Source organism: Homo sapiens, chromosome 11 (assembly GCF_000001405.40).
Source record: "Homo sapiens chromosome 11, GRCh38.p14 Primary Assembly".
Lineage (NCBI taxonomy): Eukaryota > Metazoa > Chordata > Mammalia > Primates > Hominidae > Homo > Homo sapiens.
The window spans coordinates 15,134,950-15,152,524 of record NC_000011.10 but is presented as its reverse complement, the minus strand read 5'-3'; the positions used below and the strand labels follow the sequence as shown (position 1 = coordinate 15,152,524).

Below are 17,575 nucleotides of genomic sequence, written 5' to 3'. Positions count from 1 at the left end.
TTAAAGGGGAAAGATCCTAGTTAAAGGTTAGTTGACTTCTGATCAGTAAAGTTTCTAGTTTCATTTTACTGTTGATGTTGGGCTTCAGTTTGCTATGTAGAAACCTAAAGTGTTGGAGCAGCCCCAGCCTAATGGCTTCCCTGTTTAAAATATTTTCTAACACACTCCAATGACAGATCAAGGTGGGACATGAAGGCCCTGGACATTTTGGCCAATGGACAACAACACTGATTCCAAATCTTCCTACAAGATCAGTTGACATCACTGAGCCAGGTTTTGCAGCTCAACTTCACCTTCCAGCCAGTCCTGCTTCCTTCCTCCCCCTTCCACAGGCATTGATCCTAAAGATGGTCACTAAAAACCACTCTGAACTCTAAACCCCACCTAAAAGGCTGTTCCCATATAACTCAACCTATGACCTCTTGTTTGCAAAATATAGATAATAATAATTATACACATGGGTCATAGTGAAGACTAAATGAATAGCTGTGTGGAGTATCCATCCCATAACAAGTACTTGAAACCATAAGCCAACTTTGTTGTGGGGGTTTGCAAAGGCCTGCCTATTAATCAGTATTGCCACCCTGACTCTTCACTGGCAGGGATTCGGAGAGAAAAATTCTAAATGCCATAGATGATTTGTGGGCTAGGTAAGTTATAGAAGGAAGTGGGGAAGGAAGGGGACATCTGGACCCAGCCCTGTGTGGACCCTGGGCTCCAGCTTACACCCCAGAAGCCTTCCCATAAAGAAAGTTAAACCAAAGGACTAGGTCATCTGGATCTTGGCAGAATATGAAGGCCAGGCTGTGATGGTGGAGGGCACAACCCTGGGAGTGTAAAGCCTGGGCCCGACATGCTGACCACCATGGCTATGTTCCAGCAGCACCACCACCATGCCCAGAACCAACAAGAAGATCAGCATCCCAGATGGAAAGATAGGAGGCCAGAGGAGCAAATGAAGACCAGCCAGGGACATAGCAGCCACAGTCTCCTGCTATCCAGGAAGCTCGTCTCTGACCCCCTTCACTTCCACCAGTAAATCTTTGACCACCCCCCAGGGAGGTACTCAGACCAGAGATTGTATCGTTTTCACTACCTGGTGGGAGGGAGAGAGATTATTACTGTTATTTATACCAGCAGTCCCTAACCTTGTTGGCACCAGGGACCTTTGGCACCAGGGACTGGTTTAGTGGAAGACAATTTTTCCATGCAGGGAGGCTGTGGGTGGTGGGTATTACATTCCCATAAGGAACATACAACCTAAATCCCTCACGCAAGCAGTTCACAGTAGGGTTCGCGCTCCTATGAGAATCTACTGCCGCCTCTGATCTGACAGGAGACGGAGCTCAGGCAGTAATGCTTGCTCTTGCCGGCCACTCACCTCCTGCTGTGTGGGGGCCCAGTTCCTAACAGGCTAAGGACCAGGAGTTGGGACCACTGATTTCTATGACCTGGGAAAGTGAAGCTTGTGTACTGCAAAGCACCCTCAGGCTCTAGAGAGACCTTCTCTCCTGGACCCAAGCACTTCTACTACCCTTTAAAGCAGCTGTCACTGCCACTATGTTGAAGAAAAAACAGGTGCATAGACAGCTTAAACAGCCACTCAAGGTCACAGAGCTGGTAGGAAGTGAACTGGGCTTTGAACCCAAGTCTGATTCCAAGGTCTACATGCTTTCAACCACTTAGCCCCACATAAGAGATTCCAAGAGTAGAGTTTTGTTCTTTTGCTTATTTTATTGTTTTTAAATATGAAAGCATCCCAGGAGACTCAGATACAGAGCTGAGAACCACCACACCCTGTCAGACCACTTCCTGTCAATCATGCCAGTTCAGCAAGGGATCCCAACCCCTGGCCTAGGAGGCTGTTGCTCCTGACCTCTACTCTCGCCTAGGAATCTGCACCTAGAACAGCCCTTTGTGCTGCTATTTATTCACAAGGGTCTCAAATACCAATGGCCTCACCCATATGATTTACCCAGGCTGCTGGATGCTTCCATGCAACATGGCAGTACTTGTTTATTTATTTTTGTGCACTGAGGTGAACAATGGCACTGCAAAATGAAATTCAGTTTCAGTGGAACACAACAGAAAGAAGTCAATTATCCAGCATGAATTATTTATCTGGAGACAATAACCATGGTGTTATTCCCCACAAGAGAGGCCTTGGCAGCTTGGAACAGGAGGAAAGAAGACATGGCTGCTACTATCTGCCTATCATGCTGCTTCAGATTGCATCATAGGCAAATTAACACTTCTGACATCCTGTAACTACACATGCGCCTTCTCTGTGTATGTGGACCATGCATAAGCCCCTAGTACATACACAATTAACAGGCTGCTAGATCCAGGGATTCTATTCCCTCAGTGTTCTGGCTAGGCCTGGCAATGCTAGGCTTTGAACGTATTAAAGGAAATACCACCCTCTCTCTGTTGCTCACCTCACCCTATCAGAACTGTGAGGATGAAGACATTGTGAAAAAAAGATTTCACAAGCTACATCTTTTATGGCCAGCCATAATTCCTGATGTTAAGTCAGTCTGGAGTCTTCCTCCCAATTGATTTGCTGTGCAAGATCAGTTAGAAATCATGCCTTGCCTCCTAATAATTTGATTCCTAAATCGTTTTCATGTAATTTAATTTCTTGTGACCTTAAGACTTCTGAAGAGGTTGCAAGTGGGAGAGAGAGAGGGTTCAGGCTCCAGGACCAGCCACATCAAACCTGTACCTGCCTTACCACATCTTCCAGCTGTGTGGAGGCACCTCTGGTGGCCCCAAGTGTCTCCTTCTTCAGACAGGATGTTCTCCAGCCCCTCTCCCCTCGTTATCCGGGCTTCCCCTTCTTCTCAGTATGTGCCTTTCCCACCCTCCCTCATTGCCCAACTCAGGACAACAAGTACTTCCCAAGGATCAGCTCTATGCTCAGTTTTCTCCTTGATGCTCTGGGCAAAAGAGAAGACATCCAAGGGTAGAATGACACCTTCTAGGTTGTCACCTTCTATGACATCTTCTATGTTACTAGCACACCCATTCGATTCTTTGTTTCATGGTCAGCCTCAGCATTAGACTTCAGCTCATTAGGGACTGGGATATGCCTGATTCTTCAGTGTCCCAGGGCCCAGTTCCATTAATATTTGCTGAGTGAACATGACATCCCCAATACCTTATGCTCGGCATCCTCCCCAGAAAATTGCGTGGGAAGATGGGGTCACCTGCAGCCTCAGGATGCTGGAACTGGGCCTCAGTCACGGTTCAGATGGGGCAGGCCTGGCCTGGAGTGACAGCTGTAGGACTTACCGCTGACCCGGCAGGGTGACGGAGTCCAGGTGGCGACCTCCAGGCAGTGCCATCATGTTGATCCCAATCTGCAGCAAAGCCTGCTTGCAGCGGTCGTGACCCTGAAAATAGAGGGCAGGATGGCACAACGAGATCCTAAAAGAGGAGGCACAATCACTTTCTCTCCCAGTCCCAGGCCACAAGGAACCAAAGCAGACAAAGAGGTAAGACTTCTTAGCCCTCTTCTTCTGTTGAACCAGTTTACACTCCAGTATCCTCACACAAGTAAGGCAGAACCCAGATTTGATCTTGTTTCTAAGTCCCTAGCCCACTTTATATCTCTAAAATATTTTCTTATTCCAATTGCCAAATATTTGCCTGACTTATTTTGGTATGTATCAAATATTGGGACACACAGCCCATACGTATTGCACAGGACATACTTGTACTAAAAAGTATCTATGGTTTATCTGAGATTCACATTTAACTGGGCATCCTGTATTACTTGCTAAAACTGGCAATTCTACATTCTAATTCCCTGGCTGTTACCACTGTAGAACTCGCTTATTCACTGTGATTATGCTTAAGTGTGTCCTGGAAAATGTGACCCTGTTATCGGCATAGTGGTTGCTTTCCCAAATCCATTCCACTTCAGATGATGTAATTGCACCCAAATTGCCAGTGATTGGTTCAGAAATAGGCATGTGGCTCAATTTAGGCCAATGAGCCATGACAGGATTGCTTCTAGGAAAAGCGTTCTTTCTCCCAACAGAGAGTTGCAAGATGAGGCAGTATGTCTCCTGTTGGACCCGAACAAGGGAGCATATTCACCTCACTGTTGCTACAGACCATCTTGCAATCACGAGCAGCACTAGCTGGAGAACAAAGTTAGCATACCAAGAAAAAAATGCTGGGTCCTTGATCACTAAGCCACTGAATCAACTAATGCTGGAGTCTGGCCCAGCTCTAGGCTTCCTATTATCTAAGAAAATAAAAGCTCTTGTCGTTTAAGTCAGTCTGAGTGAGGGTTTTTATTCTACACAGCCAAAAGCATCCTAATGAATAAGAGTAACCCAGGTTCCAGGGACTCCCAATCCCAGCACTGAGGATGCAACTGGCTTCCCTGTGCCTCACATTTAAACCCAAACCAGCTACCCACCTGTTTGTATTTTTCTCCCTCGCCTTGTCCCTGCTGTGCTCCTGGAGGCCTTTTTGTACACAATCTCTCTTTTTCATTTCTCTCTCTCTGCCAACTCCCCCAAGCCCATGAATAAGCCCTCCCTGAGGAATATGCAGATTCTGTCACCTTTGCCTGGGCACATCAACAGAAGAGTCTTACTCCATGATTACACGGGAGCCCTATAGAAAAGAATGGAGGAGGAGCACTTTAATAGTGATGTGGGTGAACACAAAGCACTCCTCATAATGCTGGGAAGAAAGAAGAAAATGGTCAGTCTGAAAAGTGTGGGGAGGCAGGAGCCCAGAATAAACTAGGGTGCTAGATAATTCCAGAGACTTGCTGCCGTTGCCTGTTTCTTGGTCTGTGGAGCTTACTAGACTGTGAGCTTCTTGAGGGTAGACACCACATGTGTTTCTGGAACTGAGCCAAGGGCCAGGCACATAGCCTGCACTCTACACGTCTGTTGAAAGAATAAGAGGGATAAATTTTTAACACATTGATGTTGAGCCCCATCTCTTCATCTGTAACTGAGGATAATAATATCTATTTTAAAGAGCTAGTATAAGGATGACATGAGATTAGGAACGTGGAAGAATATGGCCAACGTAAGAGCTAAATAAATAGTTAGCTGTTATTATTGTTATGTCCTATGAGTCTGCTATGTGCTCAGCTCTCTGGTCAGCTATGCTAAGGGAGATGCAGAAAATGAGATACAGCAGGTCACACACTTAGCACAGCGAGAGGCTCAACAAGCATGTTATCACCATCGTTATTTCCATCATTACTGTCATTATTGAGAAGGTATATTTTTGGAATCTGGTGAGCCAGTAGGCTGAAAGGGATGGCGCAAAAGAAAAACTAGGAACAATAAAATGAGGCGTTTGCTCCCTTTTGATATGTTTGACTAAAGTACAAAAAAGGAAAACACCAACTTCTCAGGGTAAAACTAAGATGTGATTAGATGGCAGGGAGCAAGTAGATTTTGTTTTACTTCAACATCTTCATCATTGAGAAGAAAAGAGGCAAAGTAAAAATATTGAAGTGGGGATTAGAGTCTAAGGTAGGAGAGGAGACAGGAAAATACTAAGAAAATTCCAGGGCCATTTGAAGTTTGAACCAAGAGGAAACTGTAGGATGAGGTGAAGCATGCATACCATAGAGTATTAGAGGAAACTCTGACTCTGATTCAAGTCATCTCTGAGGGATCCAGAGAGAAAAAAAAAGAGTTGTCATAAGCAGAAGCCTGAATGCAAGAAATTGTTCTGAATTTCTAAGAGGCAGATTCCGGAAATACAGCTCTGTGACTGTACATTCAATAGCCTATTCTGGATCACCGACCTGTGAACCCTTCAGAAAGAAGCAGTGAGCACAAGAAGCCAGCTAGAACACAGCAGGAACAAGGCAAAACAATCGACTTCTTTTCCTTCAGGAGCCTCTGGGCTGTTAGCTGAGGAAACTGCAATAAGCCTAATATATCTTGATTTTTTAAAGCACCCCAGTGAGGTGCCATCATTCATCTTTTTGACCCATAGCTTCCCAGCAGTTATGCAGGGGGAGCTGCCAGCTCACAAAACCTTGCTTCATGTGATCTCTTGTGTTCCCAGAGGCTGGGGAGGCACCCTAAGGACATCTGATTGCATATGCATCACTGCCCTATTCACAGACTATGTCATTATTGGCTGCCTCTTTGCCCCAAAAGGATAAGATTCCTTAATGTCTAAAGCCAAATCTTGCTGAATGTGGGATTAGGAACAGTCCTGACCCAAAGACCTGCATGGTCAAGAGTCTGGGTTGTGAATCAGATTACCTCTCAGAGGAATCACAGCTCATTTTCACTAGGGATGAGGAAGAATATCTGGAAGGCGAGATAGGAAATACTTGTTTAGCCCACCTGATGTTTAGAAAGTGTCTGTAACAATAATAATTACAGCTAATATTTACTGAGCATGTGTTATGTGCCAGGCACTGTTCTAAATGCTTCATATAGTATTAGTTCGTTTAATGCCATCATCATCCTCTGTTACAGATGAGACCTCTTAAATTCAGTGGGAAGCACTGGTTAGTAGGTGGCAGAGGACTAGAATCCAGGTTTGATGATTGAAGGGGAGGTGCTGGAGCAGATGAAGATAAGAGCCTGTGTTCAGCCTTTGCTAACAGACACCCTGACTCCATTCCCGAATGGCAACACCCAACCCCAGGAGGCCCTTCTCAGACAGCCCAGCACTCTTCCCTCTCACCAGCACTGCCTACTGCTCCCACTTCCTTGACTGTAAATCTTCCAGCTTCACCTAGTGCCAGCCCTCAGTGACACAGCCCTCAGGAAGAAAAGCAAACACTGCAGTCATATGGAATGAGGAAGGGTGGCTTGACAATGGGGACATTTCTCTTTTGTTCCTCATTTATTGGCAGTTTTGTGAAAGTCATATGGACAGAGATAGGCCCTAAAGGGATCAGGGGAGGGGAGATCATAGTCCCAGTTAAAGCTGCAAAGAGACCTGTTTAAAGCATGCTATCCTCAGGGAAGCTCCTACTGCAAAGTTCCATCTTCAGTCTGAAGCCCTTGCACCCACCGACTCCCATAGCCCTAAGTCAGACTCATCCTGTTGAGCAGACTTGAAGAATAAACCCCTTCCAAAGCTACACAGAATGTTAGGAAACCAAAACTGAGTTCAAGACAAGCCCTTGGTCCTGTGCTGTGTCCTCACTGGTGTTGCAAAAAGAACATGAACTTTGGAATCTGATAAATTCAAACCCTGACTTGTACAGATCCTGACCTGATAAGTACATAACCTTGGGAAAATTGCCAACCCACGGAAAATGTGGTTTCCTCAATTATACCTACTTCCCAGGAGCATCATGAGGATTAAATGAGATTACTTGCAAAAGTCCCAGATATTGTGCTTGGTATATAGCAGTCTCCAAGAAGAAGTACCCTTCCTGTTGGAAGGAAGAGTTAAGAAATACATCTCAGAGCAGAGTTGCTGCTTTTCCCAGGAAGAGAGGTGAAAAGGACACATGTAGGAGTGAGCAGGGAAGAAGAAATCCCTCCATCACCTATCCCAGGGCCTTTCCTAATTCACTGAAAATCCCACCATGGATCCTGCAGCCTTGTTTCTTCAGGGCTCTGGGCTATGTAGCTCCCACCAGAAGTGACTAGTTTACAAGAAAGACTTGAAGTCTTAAGTGTCTCTGATTTAATTCAATGTTTGCTGTGACAACAGCTCCGTTTGGACAGCTCATCTCTGCGCCCACATCCCATTAGAAGCAGCCTTTGCTCACCTCCATTTGGCTAACGACACAGGGTTTGTGGAGGAAATGGAGGCTATTTACAGTAAATTATTCAATTAAAATCAGGAGCAAAGGTGGTTTCTGCCATTGTCTAATGGGCCAATCCAGGTACAGCTCCAAGCATGTCTGGGATTGCTTAATCTGCAATCCCATTAGGGCTGTCAATATTAGGGCTGTCAACATGGAAGGGACAGGGGACAGTAAGTATTGTGGAAAGTAGTCAAGCTTTGGCGGCAGCTCTAGGAACAGGGAGGAGGCTGCTGGGAGTTGAAGAGGAGTTGGACAGCACCAGACAGATATGGCTCTTTCTCAAAGACTTCAGAAAGTGCAAGAGCTGGAAGCAACAGAGCTGTCCTGTCAGCCCATCATTATGAATCTCTACATTTGGAGCTGAAAAGGCCCTTAGAGAGCACTGCTTTACTGGGGAAGAAATCAGGCCTTTTCCAGTGTTTCCATATCTGTTTCCCATCAGTAAAATGGGGCAAAAATAGACAACCTCACAAGATTGTTGTGAGCACCAAGATAATCCATGGGTAAACATTCATCTTTCTTTCTGGCCTCTAACATATGAACCCATTTCCTACATTTGAGAAATATCCCTTTGCTTAAGAGTCTTAGTGAAGTGGAAACCTGCCTCCCAACATAGAAACTTAAAAAGCCAGGCACTTGTTTCCCAGAATCCTTTGCAGCAAGAGTAAAACACATGACTTAGGTGCCACCAATCAGGCACACAGAGCAGAAGCACATGATCTAGGATTCACCAATCAGGTGCACAGGACTAGGAGCTTGAGACTGAAAGGAGATTTCTTTCTGAGGCCTTGTGGTACCTGCAGAAGAATCAAGTTCCTCTGTACCTGGCATGCAGATTACACCTTAAAATGGGACTACATTGTAGGCTTTTTTTCAATTTGACTTCCCCAGTCTATGCAAAATGCACAGGATTTAGAGCCCAGAGGCTAGATCTGGATGTCTTGCCTGAGACTTATCCTGGATACATCCCTTTCCCTCATCATATTTTTTTCATTCATGACTGCCTCCCTGGTCAAAGGCATTGGCATCTCTCACTTGGACCTCTGCAAGGGCTTCCTTTCATCACTTGCCCCTTTCCAGCCATGCCCCTCTCTAAATTGTTCCCCACACAACCACCAGGGTGATCTCAAGCACAAATCTAATCACATCAACTCACTGTTTAAAATCCTTCAATGGCTTCCTGTTGCTACTAAGACAAAGACCAAACCCTGCCATGGCCTACTTGCCTCACATGGATCTTGTCCCTGTCTGACCACCCTTCTTGTCCTTCAGCCTTGCAGCCACGCCAGCTGCTGTTCATCCCTGCAGCAAGCCACGCCTCCCCCTGCCAAACACCTTCATAGTACTCCTTCCTCTGACCCCAACAACCTCTCCTCTGTCTCCTCTCACCAAGTTATTCCTTGGTGAGAGCTCAGAACAAATGCCACTTCCTCAGGGCAGCTTCCCTGACCCATGGATTCAGTCATGTCCTTCATTATAAGATTCCCTAGTCCCCTCGGTATTTCTCCTCCATAGACTTTATCACAATTGTAATTAAATAATTAACTGTAACATTAGGGGCTTAATAAGAGCTTAATGTCTTTCTCCCCCGAAGGTGGGGAGCAGGGACTAGAGGAATGTGCCACTCACTGCCATACCCCCCGTGCCTGACATAGGCTTGTGCATAATATCAATAGACACTTGCTCACTGACTGGATGGGTTCTTGTGGAAGGAAGCTCAGCTTCCTCACAGATAAACTGGAGACAATGGTAACTATTTCAGCATGCCGTGATGAGTATTCAGTAAGATGAATACTCACGGTGGGAAGGAGGAGCCTTTGCATACCATATGCACTGTGCGTTGAAAGCGCTCTACACCAACATGGCACATGTATACATATGTAACAAACCTTTGTGCACATGTACGCTAGAACTTAAAGTATAATAAAAATATATATACAAAAAAACAAAAAAAAAAAGAAAGTGCTCTGCATCCTAATATCCACTGAGACAAAGCTGCATGTCCCTCCTGAGTTCTTGCAGTCCTCACTGCGTGGTCGTACCCAGCTAGGCAGCCTCCCTCTCCACTCCCAGCTCTGTGTTCATCAAGTTCTCCCATAGGACAGACAGACGGATCAGTGGACAGTCACACTGCTGTGCAAAAACTGCAATGACAGGTAACCAAGGGAATGTCACCCTCCCCCGAAGCGGGACAAACAAGCTTCTAAGCAGTACCAGATCAGAATGGAAGGTGGTGAGAAGGGGTCATGGGAAGTTTCTCAGGGCATCACTGCAACACTGAAACTTGAAAGAATAATGTAGAAAAAGCAGAGGATGGAAAGGAGGCTAAAAGGAAGAGCGTGCAGGGCACAAGGAAGAGCATTTGACACAGAATCATGAGCATGGTGAGATTAGGGAACTGCAAGTGTTTCAAGAAGGCTGGAGCACTCTGGCCTGGTGGTGGAGTTTATAGGAAACTATCTCAGTAGCACGGGAATGCAGAAAAAGGAGTGGTCACTTTCAGCTAGGGAAATACAGAAGACTTCTTCACCTTAGAGAAGGTGACACCTGAGCTGGCCCTCAAATGGAGGGAGGGATTTTGCCAGGGGAAGATGGGACAAGGGCATTCAGTGCCAAGAGCAGTGTGAGCCATAGCGAGGAAACCAGAAAATGGAGCAAGTATTCAGGGACCCAGATCTCTCTCAGGAGGCTGGAGGGAAGGTGCTTCTATAGCCCTGACTGTGAAAGGAACTGATTATTTAGTCTCTGTCCTGTTGGTGATAGGGAGCCATCAAAGGTGTTTGAGCAGGGGAGTGAAATGATCAGAGTGGAATTTCAGTCCTCATGGTAACCAGTGGAGTGGATGAACTCCAGAAAGTAAGACCAGCAACAAGGATTAATTTAAGAGGCAGGTGCAAGCTTTCAGTCAGAGCACTAAAGCCCTAGGGGTGGAGAGGTAGGAACCCAGGAGTGGAAAGAAGGACTGCAAAGAGCTCTAGGAGGTAATCACAACATATATCCCTCCCCACCCTACTCTGGACCTCTATGTGACCTGTGCAAGGGTGGCAATAGTCATTGGAGCTATTGCTAGCTGTGGTGGCTGGCATCCTGCAGCAATCAGATACTTTAACACCCCTCGTTCCCAGGGGAGGCACAAGAAACCAAGCAAGCTGCCACTCAGCCCTGCTGAATGAACTGAGCCTCATGAAATATAGACAGCTCTAGCTCCCTGGAGGAAGCCCCAATAGCCCCTCACAGCTGTCAGGTGTCAGAGCCCAACAAGTAGGCAGAACAGACCTCAGGACTCACAGAGCAGGGCTGAATCCTCTCCAGGACCTGAGACCCTGGCTGGATAGCCCAGAACGACTTGCATCAGGTAGAGCGGGCCCCACCCAGACCTTTGTTCCGCCCCTCAATTCTGGAGCCAAAATAGTTTCAACAAAGCTCAGACAAGGTCCCAAGCCTCCACCTGATTAATTGGATACATCTACCTTTTAGGCCTCACCTAGAAGGCAATAGGAATCTCATCTACACAAATATGTCCATCAACTTGACAGGGCTAAGACTACAGCTCCTGGGCAATGTCCAGGCAGCCTTCTTGGAGGAGCTCACATTATACTCTCAGAGTATGAGAACTAGTAGGGGGGCCTTAGAGATTACCCCCTTGTAGTAATAATAATAATGAGGAGGAGGAAGAGGAGGCAGACAGGGAGAAACACTTCTTAGGTGTTTACTGTGTATAAGGCACTGTTCTAAATGCTTTACATTTAGTCCTCAAAATAACCCCATGAGGTAGTTCACTATTGTTATCTCCATTTTTCAGATGAGGAGCCAGAAGCACAGACGGGTTAACATGGACAATGGAGAGACAAGTTCAAAAGAAGAACAGAGGCTGTGTGCAGTGGCTCACACCTGCAATCCCAGCACTTTGAGAGACCGAGGCAAGAGGGTCACCTGAAGCCAGGAGTTTGAGGCCAGCCTGGGCTACATAGCAAGACCCCATCTCTACAAAAAAAGAAAAAGAAAAATTAGATGGGGCATGGTGGTACATTCCTGTAGTCCCAGCTACAGGGGAGGCTGAGGTGGGGGGACTGCCTGAACCCAGGAATTTAAGGTTACAGTGAGCTATGATTATGCCACTGCACTTCAGCCTGAGCAAGACCCTACCTCTAAAAGAAAAAAAAAAAAAAAGAAGAAAGAAAGAAATCAAAAAAAAGAATAAGACACCAACTGAGGTCACACAGCAAGCCAAGCTACACCTGGGACATGCACACAGGCTTCCTCATTCCAACCATGGGAAATCCAAATAAGGCTTTGCCTGGCTGGAGTGAACAGGCCCACCAGCACCTCAGAGTGGTTTACCATAGGAAGTCAATGGAGCCTTAGTTCTCCACCTGTAAAACTGGGAAAGCGCAAGTACGCTTGCACTTTTTCCCTTGCTGTGGTTATCAAGTACGAGGAAATAAAGAGTGGGCAGGGAAATTAATGAGTCCTGTTCAGACTCAGCTCAGCTCTGGAATGGGACAGGCAGGTTAACTCAGAAGTGCCCATGAGTCCCCAGAGGTCAGAGAGAGAGGAGCCCAGTGTCAAGGTGTCCTCACTGATGCCCATGTGTGCCAGCACCTGGTTTATATGAATACACATCCTCTAGAGAGCTCCAGCTTGTCCAAGCAGCACCCCCGAAGGAGCTTGTGTGGCCATCTCAGAGGAAAGCTCAGGCTCCTGGAATCAGGAAAGCCATGGCTGTCTTCACCTTGTGTCTCAGGGTGGGCCATTCCTGGCTCTGGGGCTCTGGTTGACCAGCTACTCATCAGAGGAGCTCCCAGCCCTAAGCCACAGAAGAAAGCTGCACTTACTGGCATTCTGGGAGCTAGCTCTGAGCTGAAAATTATTTAATGATCAAAAGTGAGAATCTGGTGCCCAGATCTCAAGATCTTAGGCAAAATGTAGCTCCAAGGGAGGCCTGGTTGGCCCTTTTAGCCACCTTCATCCAGAGCTCTGTTGGTTAAGAATAGAGATTCAGGAGTCAACTGCCCAGGTTCAAATGTGAGCTCCATCCATTAATAGCTGTGTGACCTTGAGCATTATGTTTTTGATCTATAAAATGGGATCTATAATAAGGATAAAATAAGAATGCTAGGCACATTAGTGAGCTCACATATGTGAAGTGCCTGGCACACAGTAGGTGTTGATCTAAAGACTGGTTCCACCTCTCTTCTGGTGAGGACAGCGCCTAGCAGTTGGGAGGCAGCCAGAAAAAAGCTATCCTGTTGCCTCCTCAGCTCCAACAATTCTACTGCTTCTTATTCTAACTTTTAAATTATTCCTTCTTACTTTCTAACTTTTCCTAATGTGAATGTTTGCCAACTGCTCAAATGTTCCTTAGCTTCGATTTGCAAAAGTGAGAGACCTCTCCCACTGGGCCCAGGGCCCAGGGTGCTAAAATTAACAATCAGCATACTTTAAGCTAATGACTTACTGGTTGTGACTGCCACGAATAGACATAACTCTCAGATAAAGGCCATTAGAGAAAATTGAATCGCTCCAACGTGGTGAAAATTTGGATACATCCTGTTTCATAAATCATACTCAAAGGGCACACTGGGCAAGCTATTTCCCTTTCTGAGTCATTATGAGGACCCAGGTTGGAGGGGTCTTTATACCCTTGGGAAAATGACATAGGAGAAAGAATTGTACAATCTCTTATAGCTTCACAAATATGATTTTCTCTGAAATCTAAAGCCTTGAGCAAATGACAGCATTGCATCAACAACCATGATAATCCAATCTTCTCTGATTTTATTTCTTCCTCAAATCCTCTAAATTGGAGTTTGCTCAATAACATTTGAAGGTAGCCTGGTGAGGTCTCGAAAATCCAAAAGTTCAGGGTTGGGATTCCAATCCCAGTTTTGCCTCTTACTAAGGCCTCTCTGACCTTCAGCTTCTACATCCGTAAAATGGGAAAAAAACCTATCCTCAGGGTTGTGGTCAAAATTACACAAGATGATGTAGCCTGCATGATATTTCAGAGAAAGTGAAATAATAATACCAGAAGCTACTTTGACCCAGCAGGCTAGTTAATGGTACTCCATAAGAAGTTTTATGATATCCATCTTTGTGGCAATGAAGGATCCATTTCCTATCCAGACTTCAGATCCAAAGAGCTGCTTTCCACTAGAGAGAATTAAAAAGCAAAATATATTAAATATGTTGGAAAGAAGCAAAGCGTCCCATAGAAGAGATATGATTTAAAACCTAGCACATAGAGATTGCTGTGGCTCAGTGTTTCCCCTCCAAAGCTCATAGGTTGAAACCTAATCCCCAGTGGGGCAGTGTTGGGAGTTGGGGCACTTCACTCTATTGTGCTTTGCAGATACTGCTTTTTTATTTTCTTTTTTTTACAAATTGAAGGTTTGGGACAAACCCGCATCAAACAAATCTATCAGTGCCAATTTTCCAGTAGTATGTGCTCACTTTATGTCTCTGTGTCACACTTTAGTAATTTCTCATAATATTTCCAATTTTTCATTACTATTGTATCTGCTGTGGTGATCTGTGATCAGTGATCTTTGATATTACTATTGTAGTTGTTTTGGGGGGGTCACAAATTGCACCCCCATAAGATGGCAAACTTAACTAATAAGTTTTGTATGTGTTCTGACTACTTCACCAACCTGCTGTTCCCCTATCTTTCTCCCTCTCCTCTGGGCTCCCTGTTCCCCAAGATACAACAATATTAAAATCTGGCCAGTTACAAACCCTACAATGCCCTCTAAATGTTCAAGTGAAAGGAAGAGTCACACATCTTTCACTTTAAATCAAAAGCTAGAAATGATTAAGCTTAGTGAGGACAGCATGTCAAAAGCCCAGATAGGCCAAAATCTAGGCCTCTTGTGCCAAACGGTTAGGCAAGTTGTTAATGCAAAGGAAAAATTTTTAAAGGAAATTAAAAATGCTACTTCAGTGAACACATGAATGACAAAAAAGCAAGACAGCCTATTCTGATATGGAGGAAGTTTGAGTGGTCTGGATAGAAAATGAAACCAGACACAACATTCCCTTAAGCCAAAGCCTAATCTACAGCAAGTCCCTAACAATCTCATTCTATTAAGGCTAAGAGAGGTGAGGAAACTACAGGAGAAAAGTTGGAAGCTAGCAGAGGTTGGTTCATGAGGTTTAAGGAAAGAGGCCATCTCCATAATATACAAGTTCAAGGTGAAGCAGCAAGTGCTGATGGAGAAGTGCAGCAAGTTATCCAGAAGATCTAGCTAAAATTATTGATGAAGGTGGCTACACTTAACAACAGATCTTCAATGGAGACAAAACAGCCTTATATTTGAAGAAGATGCCATCTATGACTTTCATAGCTAGAGAGGAGAAATCAAAGCCTGGTTTCAAAGTTTCAAAGGGCAGGCTGACTCTCTTGTTAGGGACTAATATAGCTGGTGACTTTAAGTTGAAGCCAATGCTCATTTACCATTCTAAAAGTTCTAGGGCCTTTAAAAATTATGCAAAATATATTCTGCCTATTCTCTGTAAATGTAACATCAAAGCCTAGATGACAGCACATCTGTTTATAGCATGTTTTACTGAGTATTTTAAGCTCACTGCTAAGACCTACCACTCAGAAAAAAAATATTCCTTTCAAAATATTATTGCTCATTGATGATACACCTGGTTGTCAAAAGCTCTGATGGAGATGTGGAAAGAGATTAATGTTTTCACACTGCTAACATCTATTCTGCAGCCCATGAATCAAGGAGTAATTTTGACTTTCAAGTCTTATTATTTAAGAAATACATTTTGTAAGGCTGTAGCTGCCATAGATAGTGATTCCTCTGATGGATTTGGGCATAATAAATTGAAATCCTTTTAGAAAGCAATTACCATTCTAGATATCATTAAGAACATTCATGATTCATGGGAGGTGGTCAAAATATCAATATTAACAGGAATTTGGAAGAAGTTGATTCCAATCCTCATGGATGACTTTGAGAGTTTCAAAACTTCAGTGGTGGAAGTAACTGCAGATGTGGTTAAAAATAGCAAGAAAACTAGAATTAGATGTGGAGCCTGAAGACATGACTGAATTGCTACAACCTCATGACAAAACTAAATGGATGAGGAGTTGCTTCTTATGGATGAGCAAAGAAAGAAGTTTCTTGAGATGTAATCTACTCCTAGTGAAGAGACAATATTTAGAACATAGCATAAATTTAGTTAATAAAGCAGTGGCAGGATTTGAGAGGATTAACTCCAATTTTGAAAGAAGTTTTACTATAGGTAAAATGCTATCAAACACCGCATACCACCAAGAAATTTTTCATAAAAAGAAGAGTCAATTGATGTGGCAAACTTTACTGTTGCCTTATTTTAAGAAATTGCCACAGCAACCCCAACCTTAGCAACCACTACCCTGATTAGTCAGCAGACATCAACATCAGGCAAGACTCTCCACCAGCAAAAAGATTATGACTTGCTGAAGCTTCAGATGATCATTAGCATTTCAGCAATAAAGTATTTTTAATTATATATGTACATTGTTTTTAGACATAGACATAATTTTATTTCACACTTAATATACTACAGTATAGTATAAACATAACTTTTATATGCAGTGGGAAATGTAACAATTTGTGTAACTCTCTTTATTGTAATATTGGCTTTATTGCAGTGGTCTGGGATTGAATGTGCAATATCTCCAAGTTATGCCTGTAAGTTATGAGAGCAGAGCCCTCATGAATGAATTAATACCATTAGAAAAAGGCCTTACATAAGTGGATTCACTTTCTTGGCCCTTCTACCTCCGTCATGTGAGCATCTAGTCTTCCTTCCCCCAAAGAGCACAGCATGCAAGGCATCACCATGGGAGAAGAGAATGGCTTCATTAGATACCAAACCCATGGACGTCTTGATATTGGACTTCTCAGCCTCCAGAACTGTAAGCCAATAAATTTCTGTTCACTATAAACTAGCCAGTCTGTGCCATTCTATTATACATTCTGTTATAGCAGCACAAAATGGACTAAGAAATAAACCATGTTTTGAATAAACACAGACAAAAACACTAAGACATTTTCTGTGATTAGTAAAATTGACCCAGAAGAAACAATTAATATCACAGCTCACATCCTATGTGACCAAAGTAGTATGGGACATTCAAAGGAGAATCCAGACTGAACCAAAACCTTGGCTCGGCCACAAGGGTGAAGAGTTCTCACCAGCTCATTAACAGAAAGGGACAAAAGACAGAACCATCACCTATTCTACAACCACTGTATATAACAGAATATCCCAGAGTGTGAGCACAACACAATCATTCTCAGCAAATCATGTTGTCATTGTTATAACATCTTCAGTTAAAGAATCCTTTATGTTTGGAAACAGGGGGTATAAGGTACATGGGCCACATGATCCACATCTATCTGGGGCACAGAATGGATCAAACATGAAAAACAACCCATTTGCAGAATACTGTTTTATCAAGACTTGTTTAGGTCTAGTGCTTTGCACAGTGTCTAACACAGAGTAGGAGCCCAATAAATGTTAATCTTTCCACCAACAGAGTGTTCTATGATGCTCCAAAAACATCTTGCACTTCCACAATTCTATGCATTGGTCATGGCACCCCAGCACATCCTGACTGAAATCCCTCAATTCTCTTTTCTATCTCCAAGTAATTCCAATGCCTCAGGACTCATCTCTAATCTCACCTCATTTGGCAGCTCTCTTCAAACACCCTAACTTACACTAATTTCTCCCTCCAAATAGGAATAAAGAAAGTGGTAAGGTCTTAAAAAAGAATTTTAAATTATATTATAATAG

At 44.1% G+C, this 17,575-nt stretch overlaps 1 protein-coding gene across 11 annotated transcripts in view; it reads right to left on the bottom strand.

Moving 5' to 3' along the window:
- Positions 1–17,575, bottom strand: part of INSC (INSC spindle orientation adaptor protein) — a 158,261-nt gene that overhangs the window by 117,152 nt on the left and 23,534 nt on the right. For 6 of the 11 annotated variants that reach the window (NM_001031853.5, XM_017017698.2, XM_017017697.2 and 3 more), the window contains one exon: positions 3,295–3,395. In NM_001031853.5, coding sequence (NP_001027024.3) covers positions 3,295–3,395 — 101 coding nt within the window. Of the gene's footprint in view, positions 1–3,294; positions 3,424–4,579; positions 4,633–17,575 lie in introns of those variants that run through there. The other 5 variants (NM_001278314.2, NM_001278315.2, NM_001278313.2 and 2 more) reach the window with 2 other exon arrangements.